Genomic DNA, 19,638 nt, shown 5'->3' on the forward strand with positions numbered 1-19,638 from the left:
GTCAATGATCAAATCCAAAGCAAGCAAAGTCTTAACGTAAGTAGATATGCCCTGTTTAGAAATCTCTTTATATATGATATTGACATTCTCTTGCATGATATCTTTGCAGCTCTTTGATTGGTCCGGGAGGTAGCTTCTTTGCAATTGCGGATACATTGGGAAGTACAGAATTTATAATAGAAAGAGACCTGGCTTAAGAATTAGAAGATATGTATTTTAGTTTTGACTTTACTAGATCTCTCATGCCTGTCTTTTACCTTCTTGATGTTCTAATTTTCTGTCGTGAAAAGAGGATGTCATATAGGTTCACCAAAAGTTTATTGTGGAAATCAAGTACCTAACACATAGGGTTATTGAAAGGATCAGGAGAATTAAAAGATATAGAAACACTGTAAAGTGCTATAAGACTATTAGACATTATTATAATTACAGTGACCTATTTTCCAAACCCAAATTGGACCACATGGTTTGAGAGATGATTTTTGTGTCACTTCCAAGGGCAAGAAGCAGTCTGCAAAATGTAGTTCAGATGCCAAAATATTGAAATCTCTGGCACATTTTGATGATTTATGGGAGCAATGATAAAATATTTGAAATAATGACTCAGTAAAATTCATGAGGTATGATCACTGTAATTATGAAATTTCTTTGCAAAAGGTATTTTATTTCTTATATAAGTAGAAGTTCTTTGATTTTACAGAATCCTAAAACTGGGAGGCACTCTTAAGAGACTCTGCTTCATTTCCTGCCCTAGGTCTTCAGGAGAAATGCTGGGTAAAGATTTTGAGGGAGGCAGATATCATAACCTGCCTTCGTTCAGTGGCTTGTTTTATTACTGAACATCCTTATCTCGAAAATCTGTCTGCATTTTAACTACTATTACCTTTACTGTTTTTCACATATATATGTATGAAACACATGTATATATATATGAAACAGGAAATGAATAACTTTTTAAATAGGAAATTCCTTTTTAAGGGATAATAGTACAAAAACAATGCTGAAAAGTAACTGTTGGAATTCTCTGCTAGAAAGACTTGAAAATCTTTATAGGCCATAAACATTAAATTCATGTCTCTTAGAATATATTATGTTTCTTCAGGCATAGTAGCTCACACCTGTAATTCCAGCACTTTGGGAGGCCGAAGCAGGTGGATCACTTAAGGTCAGGAGTTTGAGACCAGCCTTGCCAACATGGTGAGCCCCGTCTCTACAATATAGAAAAATTAGCCGGGCATGGTGGCTTGCGCCTGTACTCCCACCTACTTGGGAGGCTGAGGCACTTGAGCCCCGGAGGTGGAGGTTGCAGTGAACCAAGATCATGCCATTGCACTCCAGCTTGGCCCACAGAGTGAGACCCTGTCTAAAAAAAAAAAAAAAAGGAAAAGGAAAAAGAATATGTTTCTTGGATGATAACGTTAAAAATTTATTTTATTTACTTTGGTTTAGCACCATAATGAACTCCTGTGACATCTAGCATCAAACTTCACCTTGAAATTTAAATTTAAAAAAAATTTTTTTTTTTTGAGAAGGAATCTCTCTCTGTCGCCCAGGCTGGAGTGCAGTGGCGCGATCTCGGCTCACTGCAAGCTCCGCCTCCCGGGTTCACGCCATTCTCCTGCCTCAGCCTCCCAAGTAGCTGGGACTACAGGCGCCCGCCACTACGCCCGGCTAATTTTTTGTATTTTTATTAGAGACGGATGGGGTTTCACCATGTTAGCCAGGATGGTCTCGATCTCCTGACCTTGTGATCTGCCCACCTTGGCCTCCCAAAGTGCTGGGATTACAGGTCTGAGCCACCACACCCAGCCTTAAATTTTTAAATTTTTGATTCCTTGGAGTCCTTTGGCTTCTTCATACAATAGTGTATACAACAGAAGTAATAGTCATTTCTTGTAGCTGTACTACAAAAAATTTTGGTGTTCGTTTTCTCTCTTTCATCTTGCCCCTTTCATGAAAGCTTTGAGATTTATGGCTTGAAGTTTTATAAATCTTTGTTTTCTGCTTTTGTAGCAATATATCAAAACATTAAGGTGTTTATTTTTATTTTCCATGACAAAAAAGGGAATGTTTTAGAGTTTATTTACCCTGACATTTATAGTAACTTGAAAATCATGGAATAGATCAAGTTCATATTGATTGTTCCATGAAGCCTCTGACTTTTCAGCACAAACCGTAAACTAAACTGATGTAGTTTTGATGCCCAAATAATGTGAATTTGGTGTTAATATTCCAACTGAGGTTTCAGTTTTTACCCAAATGTCTAAAACTTCTGGATCCCATTCCTGGAACTGGTTCTGAAAGGCTGAATGGATTTGCAGCTGGACTAAAACAAATCTATATCCTTGGCTAGGGGGTTGCTCCATGATTATGCATTCGTAGCCTTTGTGTGACTTCAGAGGCTAGACAGAAACAGGAGAAAGTGGCACCCATAGATGACCGGTCTATAAAACTGGATATAGTCACTAGGATATATGTAAAAGATATTCTGTCTTGGCACAGTTTTCTTAGAGATTGGGGCAGATGGCACACAGACCAATAGGATGGCTTGCATTTGGCTTTTAATGCTGTTGGGAATTGTTTTTTTTGATGAAAAGTATAAGCCTCATCCTTGGAGATTTCTGCTGTGAGACCACTGATAGAGGACCTCTATTTGTGTGCCTAGGGATTGTCATTCTCAAGTCAGGCTCTCATCTCAGTGAAAGAAATTAGGTGTTGGGGAGACTGATGCCTCATTAAAGGGATCTCTTTTGATTGAGTGGGGCAGTGTTCAACCCAGTCCTCCTCAGTGATATTCCTAAAGTTGCTGAGCTTATTATTCATATTGATCATATCTTTGTGCATTCATGAAAAGAATATCTATTTAATGTGGACACGACCAGCCATCAGAGAGAATAAATGCCTCACTAAAGCTTGATGTGACTGACTGTTGGCCTTGCGGATGGTAACACTGAATCAATCTGGCTAGTTTTTTCTTAATTGTTAATGCACTGTACCATCACTGATTGACCCAGTTGGAGTTCAGAGCTTACGTGGGTACTAAAGCAAAAAATCTAGCATCCTGTGGGTAGTTTGAAATGCCAGGTTTGTTTTTGTGGAGTCAGTAGTGTAATGTCTTTTATTTTTTATGCTACCCCTGCTGAAATTTAAAGTCGTGAAATTCAAGAAAACACGGAACTCACACGTTGAGATTGTGCACACTCTGGCTTAGCCTTGGTGCTTTGTTTCAGGTATATAAATTATATATTGTAGTGTAATTCAGAAATGACAGCTTCTAAGAAGGATAATAAAAGATTCTTTGAGCCACAAAGAAGGTTAGAATATATAGTTTTTCTGGCTCAGCTTAGGAAGCTCGTGGTTCCCTGCGAGACAGGAATGTTTAAGGCACACATAAGCATTAAAATCATTAACACACAGAGTCTTACATCTTGTTTCCAGATATAGCAATTGATAAGGTAAAAATATATAGTCACTTTAATATGATATTAAATCTGTCCAATTATACTTATTATTTTTGAAGTATGATATCCATAACAACAGCAACAGTGATATTATCTTACATTTATGTATTGATTTATAGTTCATAAAATGTTTTCATACATTATCCCAAATGGGCTGGCTAGTAACTTTAAAGTTATTTGGTACTTTTATGTTACTTGTCAGAAGACAATCTTAGTGACCTTAGATTTTATGGAAAAAGAACCTGTCACTAATGAAATTTATAAAAAAAACTTATGTGTTGATTTTTTAAAAAAAAATTTTTTTGAGATGGAGGCTTGCCCTGTTGCCCAGGCTGGAGTGCAGTGGTGTGATCTCAGCTCACTGCAACCTCTGCCTCCCAGGTTCAAGTGATTCTCCTGCCTCAGCCTCCCGAGTAGTTGGGATTAAAAGTGTGTGCCACCAGGGCCAGCTGATTTTTGTATATTTGGTAGACAAGGGGTTTCACCATGTTGCCCAGGCTGGTCTTGAACTCTTGACCTCAAGTAATCTGTCTGCCTCAGCCTTCCAAAGTGCGGGATTACAGGCGTGAGCCACCGTGCCTGGCCTGATTTTTGAAAAAACTCTTGCAGAAGGAAAAAAATAAAAAAGGAAGACCCTTGTAACCTATTGTAACCTAGCTTTCTGTATGGTACTGTTAACAATTCTGAAATTTTTCTTTGTTGAAATTTGGCGTTATCCGCGATAAGAGTTATCTTAAGAAAACAACACCTAAATCAGAAAGCAATTTTAATTGAAATTGATCTGAACCACAAAAGGTTGTTTTCATTTTCAAAATCTTTTCTTAGCTGTTTTTGTGATTCACCTTTCAATATTTTTGTATTGATGTTGGATATAGATTTTATAGACTAATGTGCTAAAATATGACTTCCTGTTCATAGGCAACACTAACAAATATAGTTAGTCTTTTTTGTCTTATTATCTTTAAATTACAAATATCTGAAGCCCTGTCATAATTGAATGCATCATCCTAAGATTTAAAAACATTATGGTTTTGAACATGATTTGAAAAATGAACACCACACTAGGGGAAGTGAGGCAGGGCTGCAAATAAATGAGGTAGGACAAGCAGAATTCAATTTATGCATTCTTTTCAAGTAGTTATTGATTATAGAAATAAGTAGTAGCCTATGCTTCTCTTTCAGAACTTTGCAGAAAACACCATGAATGAACTCCTTGGCTGGTATGGCTATGATAAGGTTGAATTAAAAGATGGTGAGGATATTGAATTCAGGAGCTACCCTACAGATGGGGAGAGCCGGCAGCACATTTCTGTTCTCAAAGGTAATGACATTTAATGTCCTTTTGTTCATGCAAAGAAGGATTAACTATCTCAACCTGCCAGAATTGAGTTGCTTTGGGACTCAATTGAGTTGCTTTGTTGATTATGCCAATGGTTGATTTAAACATACATCCCCAATAGTGCTTTCCCATAAGCAGAATTCTGCAGAATATAAAAGAACAACATAAAACAAAAATAGACACAGCTTAATCTCCTCCCAGCAATGGGAGAACTAGACAAGGACTAGCGACCTAAGTGCCATGGTCCTGCATACAGATTTAAAGAAAGGGACAATGTTTGCTAACTAGAGTTTCCTGATCACTTTGATAGATCATCATCTGTTGGGGACTGGGGTTTCTGTTAAGTGAAATGTTAGGTTTAGATCTTCAGACTGCTAGAGAGATTCACTGTTAGTTTGGTAATCCTCCTTCCTTTTTTTCAGTGGGAAATCTAAACGGAATTACTATTTTTGTTTTGCTTGACATTTTCATTCTTTCCCTGCCCCCACGCACTTGAATAGGGTAAAAAGAGGAGTAAGAGAGTGGTAGATGATTAGAGCCTATATTACTCTTTAAGAATTTTTTAATCAAAGCCCAGCTAAAGAGTGAAAATTACAGAGCCTTGGCAGAGCTGAATTAACACTGATTCTACCAGTGGGTAACAGTGCCAGATATCTCATGGGGGAAGTCTGTATGAATACTGAATTTATGAACCTAAATTAGGAATGAGAGCTTGCTTGTCAAAGAAAAGAGAAGTATGTGAAGAAGCAGCCCATTCAGGAAACTTTAATAAAATGTGGGTAAAACAAATTATACATCATCACTGGCAATTTGATCAATATTTGCGTTGCATTCAAAATCTATTGGCATAAACTACCTGTTCAAACGTTTTATTTCCAGTCTTTAAGATAGAGCTTTCCCTTCTTATATGCCAAGCAAGGAAATGTAATTGAGCTGCCCTGCAGGCAAGTGGAATTGAATGTACATGACAAATTTTATGTTAAGCTTACTATGAAATTGTACACATCATGCTACAGAGATAGTATCATCAATTTCACTGTAAATGAAAAATGCAAGTCATGAGTTTGTATTCTATAAACTAATAGCTCATATAATACTTGGCCTAGGTAATAATCTTTGCTTCTGGGGAACATACAGCATGCCAGGATATGCTACTAGAACGAAAAAGTTGTTTTCCATGGTTGAGGTTTTTGTTCATTTGTTTTTTTAAGTGATTCACATGCAAGGATACGATGCACAAAGCTCATATCGTTGTAAGTTTTTAAAATTTTTATTTTTGTTATTTTTTAATGGGTATTATCGATACCTTGTGAAGCATCAGTTTTCTTCCCTGTTTCTTTCTCATTGGTTCATGTGATTATATTATGATACAAGTTTATAATACAGTGGGACCTAGTTACAATGCTGGAGGGCACGTTTTAGGCTTTCCCCTGGTAGCCAGAGAGCTATGCTTGCTGTATATCATGTTGTACATGGAAAAAAAGGTTAATTGCCTCTCAATTTTCTTTTCTTTCTTTTTTTTTTTCTGAGACAGAGTCTTGCTCTGTCACCTAAGCTGGAGTGCAGTGGCGCGATCTCAGTTCACTGCAACCTCCGCCTCCTGGGTTCAAGCGATTCTCGTGCCTCAACCTCCCAAGTAGCTGGGATTACAGGCGTGCGCCACATGTCTGGCTGATTTTTGTATTTTTGGTAGAGACGGGGGTCTCACCATGTTGGCCAGGCTGGTTTCAAACTCCTGGCCTCAAGTGATTTGCCCGCCTTGGCTACCTGAAGTGCTGGGATTACAGGTCTGAGCCACTGCGCCTAGTCACCTCTCAGTTTTGTTTTGTTTTGTTTTGTGTTGTTTTTGTTTTTTGAGATGGAGTCTTGCTCTGTCACCCAGGCTGGAGTGCAGTAGCATGATCTCAGCTCACTGCAACCTCGGCCTCGCAGATTCAAGTGATTCTCTTGTCTCAGCCTCCCGAGTAGCTGGGACTACAGGCACACATCACCATGCCCGGCTAAGTTTTGTATTTTTAGTAGAGACGGGCTTTCACCATGTTGGCCAGGCTGGTTTTGAACTCCTGACCTCAGGCAATCCACCCTCCTTGGCCTCCCAAAGTACTGGGATTACAGGCGTGAGCCACCTTGCCCAGCCACCACCTCTCAATTTTCTATGGAATTTTACAGTGCTAAAATTTATCACCATGATTCAACTGGAATATTAGCTATCATAGTGGAGCAAATTATAAAGGAGCCCATTGGAAATTTATGGTAACCACACTAAAAAGTTCCTGGATGAACTGTGGAGTTCTAGTACATTGTTTAAAGATTTGCAAGAAAAAATATGTTGGGTTCATGGCCATTTTACTTGAGAAAATAAGGAAAAATTTAAGTCTACTGCATTACATTCCTTGGTCACATTGAATATGATTTTTTTCTTTTACAGAAAATTCTTTGCCAAAACCAAAATTACCCGAGGACAGTGTTATTTCACCATACAATATAAGCACAGGCTATTCAGGGCTTGCCACTGGAAATGGACTCAGTGACTCACCTGCAGGGTCAAAGGATCATGGCAGTGTGCCCATTATTGTACCTTTAATTCCACCACCTTTCATAAAGCCACCAGCAGGTAAGTCACTACTGGTGTTTTCAGTGATAACAATTCATAGAAAGTTGTTTTAACCATCTTAGGAATAATTATTAAATGCTCAAGTTAACTTTGGTAGAGGCTGTTTTAGGGACCTTATAGGTAAGAAATGTTAATACAGGCATCACTTAGAGTATTACTGTTACATTAGGAAAATTTCCCTACCTACTACTACTTAGGCTATAAACTTTCAACTGACAGTAAACCTTTTCTACCACTGACTACAAAACAAAGTTATTTTCCTTCTCTGAAATCACCTGTTTAAATGAGAAAAAAAAGATAAAATGGTTTTTAAAAATAAAATATAGACAATGACTGTTTAGCAAGAAAAAAAAGTAACCATGGTTGGCTTGTAATCCCTGCACTTTGGGAGGCTGAGGCGGGCGGATCACCTGAGGTCAGGAGTTTGAGACCAGCCTGGCCAACATGATGAAACCCCATGTCTACTAAAAATACAAAAAATTAGTTAGGTGTGGTGGCGGGCTAGTAATTAGCTAGTAATCCCACCTACTCGGGAGGCCGAGGCAGAAGGATCACTTGAACCTGGGAGGCAGAGGTTGCAGTGAGCCGAGATCACGCCACTGCACTCCAACCTGGGCAACAAGAGCAAAACTCCGTCTCAAAAAAAAAAAAAAGTAACCATGGTTGAAAACTGGGTGGTGCATAAGGAGGGCCACATCTCCTCTGGGGTCTTCTGAGGAGAGGGATAGTTTTGTAAAAGGACATGAGGCAGGCTTGGTCTTCAACACGCTTTCCTCTAAATCCATTAGAGAAACCACCTAGATTAAGCTTATCCAACCCGTGGCCCAACCCAAATTTGTAAACTTTCTTAAAACATCATGAGATTTTTTTTGAGATTTAAATTTTTTTGTTTTTTGAGACAGAGTTTCGCTCTTCTCACCCAGGCTGGAGAGCAGTGGTGCTATCTTGGCTCACTGCAACCTCTGCCTCCCGAGTTCAAGTGATTCTCCTTCCTCAGCCTCTTGAGTAGCTGGGATTACAGCTGCTCACCACCACGCCTGGCTAATTTTTGTATTTTTAGTAGAGACAGGGTTTCACCATGTTGCCCAGGCTGGTCTCGAACTCCTGACCTCAGGTGATCCACCCACCTCGGCCTCTCAAAGTGCTGGGATTACAGGTGTGAGCCACCATTCCGGGCCCTAAAACAGTTTTTTTAGCTCGTCAGCTATCGTTAATGTTAATGTATTTTATGTGTGGCCCAAGACAAGACAATTCTTCTTCCAATGTGGCCCAGGGAAGCCCAAAGGTTGGACACCCCTGAAAATTACATATCTTCTCCAACAGAGTGTTTTCTAATTCCTGGAAAGCTCTCTTTGAGAGCTTTTTTCTTTTCTTTTCTTTTTTTAATGGAGATCTTTCACTTGTATGAAAATGTAATTCATTCTTATATTTCCAGAAAATTAGATGGCAGTGTATTAGATCTAGATGGCAACGGGCTGAGCATTATGTGATATTGCAAGCTGGGCTATATATTTCACACAGAGAAAGAAGTTAAATAATATTGTATCTGGCTCCCTGTAAAATGTTGGAATCATCCTAGAATGTTTAATTGTAACGCTGGTTATTTTTCTGTATGTTGAATTGAACAATGATAAATACTGAGTTTCAACAGCAGTACTTATTATAACATACTAAAGCTAATGTTTGTGTTTTTATTAGGGAAGATAGGTATTTGGTTATGCTTCCATAAACAGTGAAGAAATTTGTAGATACAAGTTCCTGGGCTTATGTTATAGATATACTTACACTGTATTCTAAGTGTTACTCTCGTTTTTCTTCATGGTTCCCGCTACATTCTTTTGCTTGGCCTGCTGCATTTTAGCAGTAAAAATGTCCTTTCAGCCTGGCACACCTGTAATCCCAGCACTTTGGGAGGCCAAGGCGGGTGGATCACCTGAGGTCAGGAGTTCAAGACTAGCCAGGCCAACATGGAGAAACCCCGTCTCTACTAAAACTGCAAAAATTAGCCAGGCGTGTTGGCAGGCACCTGTAATCCCAGCTACTCGGGAGGCTGAGGCAGGAGAATCGCTTGAGCCTGGGAGGCGGAGGCTGCAGTGAGCTGAGATCATGCTACTGCACTCCAGCCTGGGTGACAGAGTGAGACTCCGTCTCAAAAAAAGAAAAAAAAAAGTCCTTTCATATTGAGGTCTTAGATATGTCATTAAAATCCATTTACCTGTCAAAATCACTTGTAATTGTGTTTGTCTACTAATTACTAATGTAATTGGTGTATCATATAAAGTTTGCCTTATTGTGCCCCTGTTCTCCTTTGGTTGATTGTTTTGTGATACGGAGGGGTCCACATTTATTTCCCAAGGACCAAAGACATATTTTACGTAGGCCAAGTGGGAAAAAAAGGGTAACTAATTTTGTAAATGTAGAGTTTACGTTTGAATATATGCCCAGTGGCTTAGGGGAGGGGAGATGATGATGAAGGTATCAGTAAGGTAGTATGAGTAAGTGACAAGTACATGGGGTTCAGATTCAGACAGATTGGGTTCAAATCTAGGCTTTGTCATGTACCACCCTGTGAACATGGACAAGTTACATAAGCTCTCTTCACTTCAGTTTTCTCATCTGTAAAATGGGGATCCCAGCCCTACCTCATGTGGTTGTTGTGGAGATGAGATAAGAAAATGTATGTAAGGCCGGGCGCAGTGGCTCATGCCTGTAATCCCAGCACTTTGGGAGGCTGAGGCGGGCGGATCACCTGAGGTCGGGAGTTTGAGACCAGCCTGACCAACATGGAGAAACCCCATCTCTACTAAAAATACAAAATTAGCTGGGCATGGTGGCACATGCCTGTAATCCCAGCTTCTAGGGAGGCTGAGGCAGGAGAATCGCTTGAACCTGGGAGGTGGAGGTTGCGGTGAGCCAAGATGGCGCCATTGCACTCCAGCCTGGGCAACAAGAGTGAAACTCCTGTCTCAAAAAAAAAAAAAAACAAAACAAAAAAGAAAATGTGTGTAAAGCCCTTAGCATAGTGCCTGCCTCACAAAACCAGACCTTTTTTCTTTTTTTTTGCCCTAGAGTTATCATGCACATAAATTGTGCATAAAAAGGTGTGCATCCAAATGCAAATTGGTCTCTAAGATTTATTTGAGCAAAGCAAACAGCTTTAGAAATTAGCATAGCTGAGGCTAACATAAGTTTGGCATGCCAAAAAACCTGCCCTGGAGTTTCCTGCTGAGCCAGCCACGTGGAATTCAAGCACACAGCTCCTATTTAACTCTAATTCCACATCAGATCAGGAAATAAATATGCGAAGGGACAGAGGCCAAAAATTGAGCCTTGAAAGTCTTAGATGTAGGAACTCTGAGGAATTAGAAGCCAGAGTAACTGAACACCAGTGGTTTTATTGGTTTTGTGCTGTCTTCCATGGAATTCCAGGGCGCTCATCTGTTGAAAATAAAATGTAGGGAAGGACATGTTTAATTTTCTATCTCCGCTCCCAACTTTGACTCTGTCCTACTCAAGGGTTCTATATGACAAGACAAAGATACAAAAAGATTCTCTACTTTTAAGGAGCTTATTCTCTTAGTTACCAAGCAGGAACTTACAGGGAAGTTGAATTTTGATTTAGTCATACTATCTAGGGCAGGGGTCTGCAAACCTTTTCTGTAAAGGGCCAGATAGTATTTTAGACTTTTTAGACCATACTGTCTCTATCACAACTACAGAGCTCTTCTGTTGTAGCAGAAAGACAGCCATAGATAATACATAAACAAATAGGTGTGGCTGTGTTCCAATAAAGTTTTATTTACAAAAAAAACAGTGGGCAGGGTGTGGCCCACGGACATAATTTGCTGCTTGTGCTAAGGTAAGATTAGCCACAGTCTCATGATAACAGGAAGGTGACTAGAGTTTCAAAGAGTCAGGCTATGGACTTTGCCGAGGTGCAGTATGTATTTCAAGGAAGGAAGAACAGCAAGGGCAGGAAAATAGTGAGTTTTCAGGGTATTTGGTGAGCTTGACACAATATTTGTTGAATAAATGAATGAATGACTGATATTCAAATCTTATTGCACATATATAAGCATTTCACTGAGAAAATGCTAGTGTTTTGTCTGGATTAGTCCCAACCTGTTTGACCTTGACTGCAGCTTCCTTGATAGTGAAACGAGGATTCCATCACTCTTAATTATCCATGGCTAAAGTCAACAAATTATCAAAAACTTCCATCTAGTGAATCATTTTAACTCTTCCATTGCTAAAACTTTTACCAGAGTTGTGATTCAAGGTAATTGGGTTGAGATATGCTACTGTCAATTTTCTAGCTGTATGTAGGTTAATGCTGCATTCCTGTGGGGAAACAAATAAAGGGTACAGTGGCTAGGAGCAAAAGGCCCCTTGATAATCAGCCCTTGAATAATTTAGAGTTGACTGTATCATGCAAGTGCACCTCTCAAGATAGGGAAGATGAGGATCATGTGTATGCTTTGGATTCCTGTGTTAGTGTTCAAATTATTCCTATCCCATTGTAAACTGGCTATGTGAAAATGCTAATAATAATAATACCTTTCATTAAAATTTTTAGAGTTTATGAAATTTATTCACATTGATTATTTTATTTAATATGGTCTTCATATAACTCTGGGAAATAGCATATTAGATATTAAATTTAAAGAGCTGAAGTTCAAATAGGTTAAATGGCTTTTTCAAGGTCACATGGCTTCTAAGTACTTGAGCCAAGACTAGTACTAAGGTCTTCTGACTCCTAATCCAAAATTCTTTTTAATGTAAATTGCCTTTTAGCATATTCCTACAAAATTTCCCTAGATTGTATCAGAATAATAATGCCTGTTAATATACTACTTCCAGATACCCCAATGACAGGACATACACTCTCTTCCTGCTAAAAGTTACTTTTTCAAGTCCACATTTTTGGGGACACTCAATGAGTTCTTCCCTAACCCTGAGAATCTGTGGTTCTAAAAGCGTGGATGGCCCAGTAGGGGTAAAATCCTAGCTTTGTTTTACAGTTCTTGCCGTCATGAGGCGAGTTGCTTCTCTTTGAGGGTACCAGAGGGCTCCATCCAGTCAGGCACTGTTTCCCAAGCATGTGTTTCATGTGCTGGGGCAGGCTCACCACTGGATCCCATCCATGTCTTGGCAGCCAGTGGGCCCAGTGGAATACTCGTGATTGGGAACACGGTGATACTGCATTGACTTGGATTTCCACTCTCCTTTCTCACAGCTGCATACAGAATTGTGGGTGTAGCTTACTTCTGGGCCTGGAGAACTGCTCTTCTGGCCCTGCCCTCCCTTTTCTCTGGAGAAGGGGAGCTCCCGTGTCTTGGTGGTTACCACAGCATTGACCCTGCTCTGGCCACACATGTGTGCATTCATCTTCCAACTCTGTGCTGCCTTTCCCCCCACAGAGACAGCCTCTGGCCCTTGGTATGGTTTGTGACAGCACAGGCATTACTATGGTAACAGACGTGTTATAAATACAGGATAATAGCTTTGCTTTTGCTTTCCCCCTCCCCCGCCCCCATGCAGTGAAGGGAATCACCATGATCCTTAAATAATAATCACAGACTTTTTTGCAGACTCTAGGAAATGAACAGAATAAGGCTTTGCCATATAGGCAAGCCATGAAGAAAACTTATAAGAATATTAGAAAATAATAAAAGTATTGACCAACACTTTCTTTTTGTGCAAACATGTCTTTATTCTTTCAGTTTGAACAAATGTAAAAACCTCCTTCTTTGCTAATTTAAAAAATCACATCATGAACATAATCTGAAGTGGCAAAAAATATGTCAGCAAGAATTTTGAAAGATAGGTTAATTAAACGGTAACTTTGCTGTAATTCATCTCATGTTAGAGATTTTAGCATGGGTTCAACCCTTTGAGACTTCATTCGAAGATGATCATGCCTTTAAAGGGCTTGGGCATGGATTGTAAGAACTGTGCTGTAGTGAGTCTTCATTAAGATATTTGGCCTTCTCTGGTTTTAATTGAGCTTTAAATTTGGTTCCCTCCAAGTTTGATGATTGAGGTAAAGCACTCAGAAGGGATTTTGAATACATATCTTTGACAAAGGCCTTATAATGGTCTTCACTGCTTTACAAGTGTAATAGCCCTTGGCTGCATTGACTGGCCATCAATTTTCTGCAGAGGTAGGGCAGGTTTGGGTCTCCCCACCTTGTCAACTTCTGGTCAAAGTAGCCAGGGTAGACCCTGGCCCAGTTGAGACTCAGACCAGGACTTTTTCCCCTCTAGTTTTGGGTTTGCTCCATGACAACATTTTGCTCCCAAAATTTTTTTTTTAAATTAATAAAACTATTAGTGTGATTGTTTTTGTTCACAAGGAGAAGTGAAATGAAGCAACTTTTTCTAGTGAGAGCTTTCCTGCTGCAGAAAACCGTGTGTACCTAGAAAACCACATTTTAGATCTGAGTCTTTTGACAGGTTTTCCCAGAGGCTTACAACTTGCCTATTCCAAGTCCAGAATCCCTGTAAATCTCTGAATACTTTAAAATGAAATGAAATGTGAAAAAAAGAGGGAATATACTTCTCTTTATGCATTTATGTGGCAGTCTTGAATAAAGTGTCTTTTACCTCAAATGATAAGTGCCCTTATTCTCATTTCTTACCATGTTTGCACATGTGAAGTAAAAGGAAGAGCCTGTCCATACGGCACAGACAGGTTTGTGTGGAGCAACATAAGATCGATCCCCTAAAACCAGCTTGATTTCCTGTGTGCAGAAATGTCTTATCTTTCTTTGAAAACAATGACCATTTCCTGTCCTCCAGGATGGTTTGCTTTTCAGTTAGTTTTCCAAATTTGAGTTCCATTATAGTCAGGGAAATATGATATATATTTTCAGGCAAATCTTGAAATTCCTAAGGGGTTATAAGAACTGGACTCTAAGGAACCATTAGCTTAACGGAGAATATGGAAACAGTCACGTGATCTGCTAACCTCTATGTATATAGCTGAGTAACCCACAGTTAATAAGCATGTTACTTTTTGGCTCTTATAATTCTGACATGGAGTTGTACTTGCAGGGAAATGGGAATGAGAATGTGGTTTGCATTATGGTCATTATTTATTTTATCTGTTATTCAATATTCTTGGGGCTTGCATATGATGATGTGTTCCAAATAGCCATTGAGAAAACAGGATTTAATCAAAATTGCTTTGGACTTTATTTATTTGTCCAACTTTTAAAATATGATTATTAAATAAAATTACCTAGAGTTAATGGGATTTGGATGACTTACTATTTATGTACCAGATGCAATTCTCAAAAAAAAAAAAAAAAGAAAGAAAAAGAGGTTCACTGAACCCTCAGTTTTCCCAATCACTTAGGATAAGGACAGGAGGAATTAACGATGAATGGCAGAAATGTGAGTACTTAATAATGTAATGATATAATCTCATCATAGCTAATAGTTTTTGAGCATGTATTATGCTAGTAGATTTATATCATTTAATTTTCACAACTCTTTGTGGATGCTATTATTAACCTTGTTTTACAGATGAGAAAACTGAGGCCCAGAAAAGTTGAGCAACTTGCCTGAGGTTACACAGATACTGAGTGGCAGAGCTGATATTTGAACCTATACATTATGTCTCCTTAGCCTATATCCTTAACCACTGGATTATCCAAAACACTATGGCAGTATTTCAGTCAGTTAAGTATTTACTGAATGTTCCTTACATTGTGCTAGACAATACAGATGTATGTCATCATCCTTGACTACCAAGAACTTAATAGTACTGTTGGCATATGATCAAAACATCATTCTAGTTTTACCTTGGAATGTATGATATAATTTTAGTTGCATATGGAAGGTGCATGGTAGGACTACAAGGGCAATTAAAGTGGAGTAGCAAAAAGTCTATAGGCAGATAATCAAGAACTGTTATATTTATACAGTTGAGGGGAAATGGCACCTGAAACTTAATATAGGCTAGAAGATAGCAATTGAAAACTCAAATTCAAAGTGATAAAAAAAGATCCAAAATGAAACCTGAAAATGTTAGATACTATGATATGGGTCCTGCTTTATTGTTCTCTTTACAATTAAGGGTTCTTAAAAATGTGTAAGGCACATTTTAGTGTGTTCTATCATTTTTAATGCCAGATGAAATGTATAATTTGAATGGTAGCATGAGGTGGTGAAGACTGCCAGAGCAAGAACCAGGAGACCTGGGTTGCTAATGCCAGCTCTGCCATTTATTGGCCATGTAATCTTGAATAAGGTAGTTTCTCTAAGCCTTAGTTTCCTTGTCTGCAAAATGATGTGGTTAGCTTACATGATCTGTTATTTCCCTATATTTATAAAATCCTTATTTTGTGACTTGTATGGTTAGTTGCTCTCCTGATTTTATGATTTGAGAGGGTATGTTTTAATGTGCTTTAACAGGTACTTGTTAATTGAACAGATATAAAGCAAACTGCATATATGTATAGTTATAACAGCCAGAAGTCTGATGAAAGATTTATACTGCTTGGGACAAGTTTTAATGATTGTTAATTTTTACTTTGAACAAATAGTGAATGAAATAATAGATTTGACATTTTTTAAGATAACAAGTGCTAGGAAATATGAAATGTGAGTAAATAAAAAGGTTCATATGTTATTAGAACTAATCATTTTGATGTTATGCATAGTGATTACTAGAATAATTCCCAGAGTTTCTTTGACAGAGACGTCACATTAGTTTAACTTACCAAAACAGACAGAAGAAATAGAAAACTTGAGTAGTCCTATTAAGGAAATAAAATAATTGAATCTTTTCTACAAAGAATATTCCAGACCTAGATGGCTTCAATGGTAAATTCTGTGAAACATTTAAGAAAAACAAAAAACAAACAAAGAAAAGAAGTTGGAGAAGCTTTTTCAGAGAATAGAGAAGAAATAAATACGTAGACTTATTTTATGATCTCAGCATAACATTGATCACATTACATGCCAAGGGCATTATAAGTAAGGGAAACAATAATTTAGTGTAATTTTATTACATTAAAATTGAAAACTTCTGTCTGGGTGTGGTGGCTCACACCTGTAATCCTAGCACTTTGGGAGGCCGAGGTGGAGGGATCACTTGAGCTCAGGAGTTTGAGACCGGCCTGGGCAACATGGCAAAACCCTGTCTCTACTAAAAATACTAAAATAAGCTGGGCATGGTGGCACATGCCTGTAGTCCCAGATACTTGGGAGGCTGAGGCACAAGAATTGCTTGAACCTGGGAGGTGGAGGTTGTAGTGAGCCAAGATTACACCAGTGCACTCCAGCCTGTGTGACAGCGAGACTCTGTCTCAAAAAACAAAAAAAGAAGGAAAACTTCTGTTCATCATGAACATTCATGCAAAAATACTGAGCAAAATTATAGCAAACCAAAGCCAATGATATATGCAAAATGGTAATACATCATGACTAATTTAGATTTTTTTCTAGGAATGCAAGGTTGGTTTAAATTTTAAAAATCAGTCAATATGATTAACAAAATAAAGTAAAACCTCTGTTAAAGTAAAACCATTAACAGAATAAAGTAATAGCTGCAGCAACAATTTTGATAAAATTTAGCACTATAAATGATTAAAAAAAACTTTTGGCAAAGGAGGAATAGAATAGAACTTCCTTAATCTGTCCAAAGGTTATCAACAGAACACTCCACAGCCAATATTACGTAATAGTGAAGTATTGAAAACTTTCCTCTTGATATCAAGAATGAGATTAAGATGATCATTATGGGCCAGGCACAATGGCTCATGCTTGTAATAGTAGTACTTTGGGAGTCCAAGGCAGGCAGATCACTTGACGACAGGAGTTCGAGACCAGCCCAGCCTTCACGGCAAAACCTAGTCTGTACTAAAAATACAAAAATTAGTAGGGTGTGGTGATGCGCTCCTATAATCCCAACTACTCGGGAGGTTGAGGTGGGAGAATTGTTGGAACCCAGGAGGCAGAAGTTGCAGTGAATGGAGGTTGTGATGAGCTGGGATTGCACCATTGTACTCCAGCCTGAGCAGCAGAGCAAGACTCTGTCTCAAAAAAAAAAAAAGAAAAGAAAAGAAAGATCAGTATCACCCACTTCTGTACCGGAAATTAACAGACAATTATTTAATAAGGAAATAAAAAGGAGTAAGAAACTCAAGATTTGTAAGACAGAAATGCTATTTTATATAGACCTCCCTACAGTCAATCTACAGGTTAACTATTATAATTTACGACTCAATTTATCAAAGTCTCTAAACACAGTCAATATCTGCAAATCAATGATATCTCTGTATTCCAGCCATAAAAATTTCAAAAGTGAATCTTAAAAATATAATTTAAAGTAGTATCAGACCCATCAAATACCCAGGAAAATAATCTCACAAAATATGTGTAAGATGGTTACACAGAGAATCATAAACATTGCTGAGAGAAATTAAAGAAGACCTAAATCAATAGAGGGACATACCATGTTTATAGATTAGAGACTAAATATTGTAAAGAGGAAGATTCCTCCTAAATTGATCTATATATTTAAATCTAATTCTGATAAAAATCCTGCATAAAATTTTGTGGAAATTAAAAAGTTGTTTTTTAAAATGTATATGGAGATGCAAAGGAGCAAGAATAGTTCAAACAATCTTGAAGAAAAAAATAAAATTGGGAGACTTATACTCTCAGATATCAAGATTTATTGTAAGGACAGAATAATTATGATAGTAGGCAAGGATGCAAGGATGTAGGTATAAACAATTATAACAGAGTCCAGAAACAAATCTAAATTGATACTTGACTCATGATAAATATATTAGTCAGCTCAGGCTGACATAAAATACCATAGACTGGGTAGCTTAAACAACCAAAATTTATTTTCTCACAGTTCTGAAGACTGGAAATCAAGATCAGAGTGCCAGCAGGGTCAATGTCTGGTGAAGTCTCTCTCCTTGGAGTGTAGATCACTGCCTTTTTACTATGTCCTCATGTGGTGAAGGGAGAGAGAGAGAGAGCAGGCTCTCTGCTGTCTCTTCTCATAAGGGCACTAATCCCACTGGACAAAGGCCCCATCCTCATGATCTCATTTAACACTAATTATCTTCCAAAGGCCTCATCTCCAATTGCCATAATATTGGGGGTTAGAGCTTCAACATATGAATTTGGGGGACACACAAACATTCAGTCTATAACAACAAAGATGACACGGTAGAGCAGTGGAGAAAGGATGGTCTTTTCAATAAATATGTTTATGGAAAAAATGTATGTTGATTCTCTACTTCACATCATTCATAACAAATTGTAGATGGATTGTTGATCTAAATGTGATAGGTAAAACAATAGAGCTTCTAGAGAATGCCTAGGGGAATTTATGATCTTGAATACACCAATATTTCTTAAACTACATACATAAAGTACTAACCATAATGGAAAAAGTTAATTACATATAATACAATTAAGAATGTTTGCTGATTTTAAAAAATCTTTCAGGTTGCTTGGTGGATACAATATGTGTTGTTCCAGTGATGGATACACTGAAGGCCTTGAATTCGCCATAGTGCAATATATCAATATAGTTAAATTATACTCATATCCCATGAATTTATACAAATAAAAAAAGAAAAAATCTTTCCAAAGAATGAAAAAGCAAATCACTGAGTACCAGATGAAGTTTGTAATGCATTTCCCTGTAAAAGACTTATATTGACAATGTATAAAGAATCTCTGTAAATAAAAATAAAACAGCTCAATAGAAAAATAGGCAAAAAATGTAAACAGGCCCTTCATCAAAGAAAATATCCAAGTTATCAGTAAACATGAAAAGTTTTTCAATCTCATTACTCATTAGGGACATCAGATTTAAAATCATAGTGAGAGACCGGTAAACACACATGAGAATGGCTAAAATGAAGAAGATTGACAATACCAAGTTTGAGGAGGATATGGAGCAACTGGGACTCTCATGCATAGCTGGTGAGAGTGTAAATACATGTAACCACTATTGAAAGCTGATTGGCAATATCTATTAATGCTGAACATACACATATGCAATAATTTATACAATTAAGTGTTCTTGAAAATGTATAATGCAATAATTCTATCTTAGGTATGTGCTCAACACAAATGTGTATATATGTGAGCCAAAGGCACATAAAATAATCTTCATAGCAGCATTTATTCATAATAGCTAAAAACTGGGAACAACCCAAATGTTCACCAGCAATCATTAACATACA

General features: G+C 37.9%; 1 protein-coding gene across 7 annotated transcripts in view; it reads left to right on the forward strand.

The window, feature by feature from the left end:
- SOBP (sine oculis binding protein homolog) overlaps positions 1 to 19,638 on the forward strand; it is a 171,190-nt gene that overhangs the window by 8,897 nt on the left and 142,655 nt on the right. For 5 of the 7 annotated variants that reach the window (NM_018013.4, XM_011535920.3, XM_047418962.1 and 2 more), the window contains exons 2-3: positions 4,644 to 4,782; positions 7,229 to 7,414. In NM_018013.4, the coding sequence (NP_060483.3) occupies positions 4,644 to 4,782; positions 7,229 to 7,414 (325 nt within the window). The other 2 variants (XM_047418965.1, XM_047418968.1) reach the window with 2 other exon arrangements.

This window comes from Homo sapiens, chromosome 6, assembly GCF_000001405.40.
Source record: "Homo sapiens chromosome 6, GRCh38.p14 Primary Assembly".
NCBI classification, from domain to species: Eukaryota; Metazoa; Chordata; class Mammalia; order Primates; family Hominidae; genus Homo; species Homo sapiens.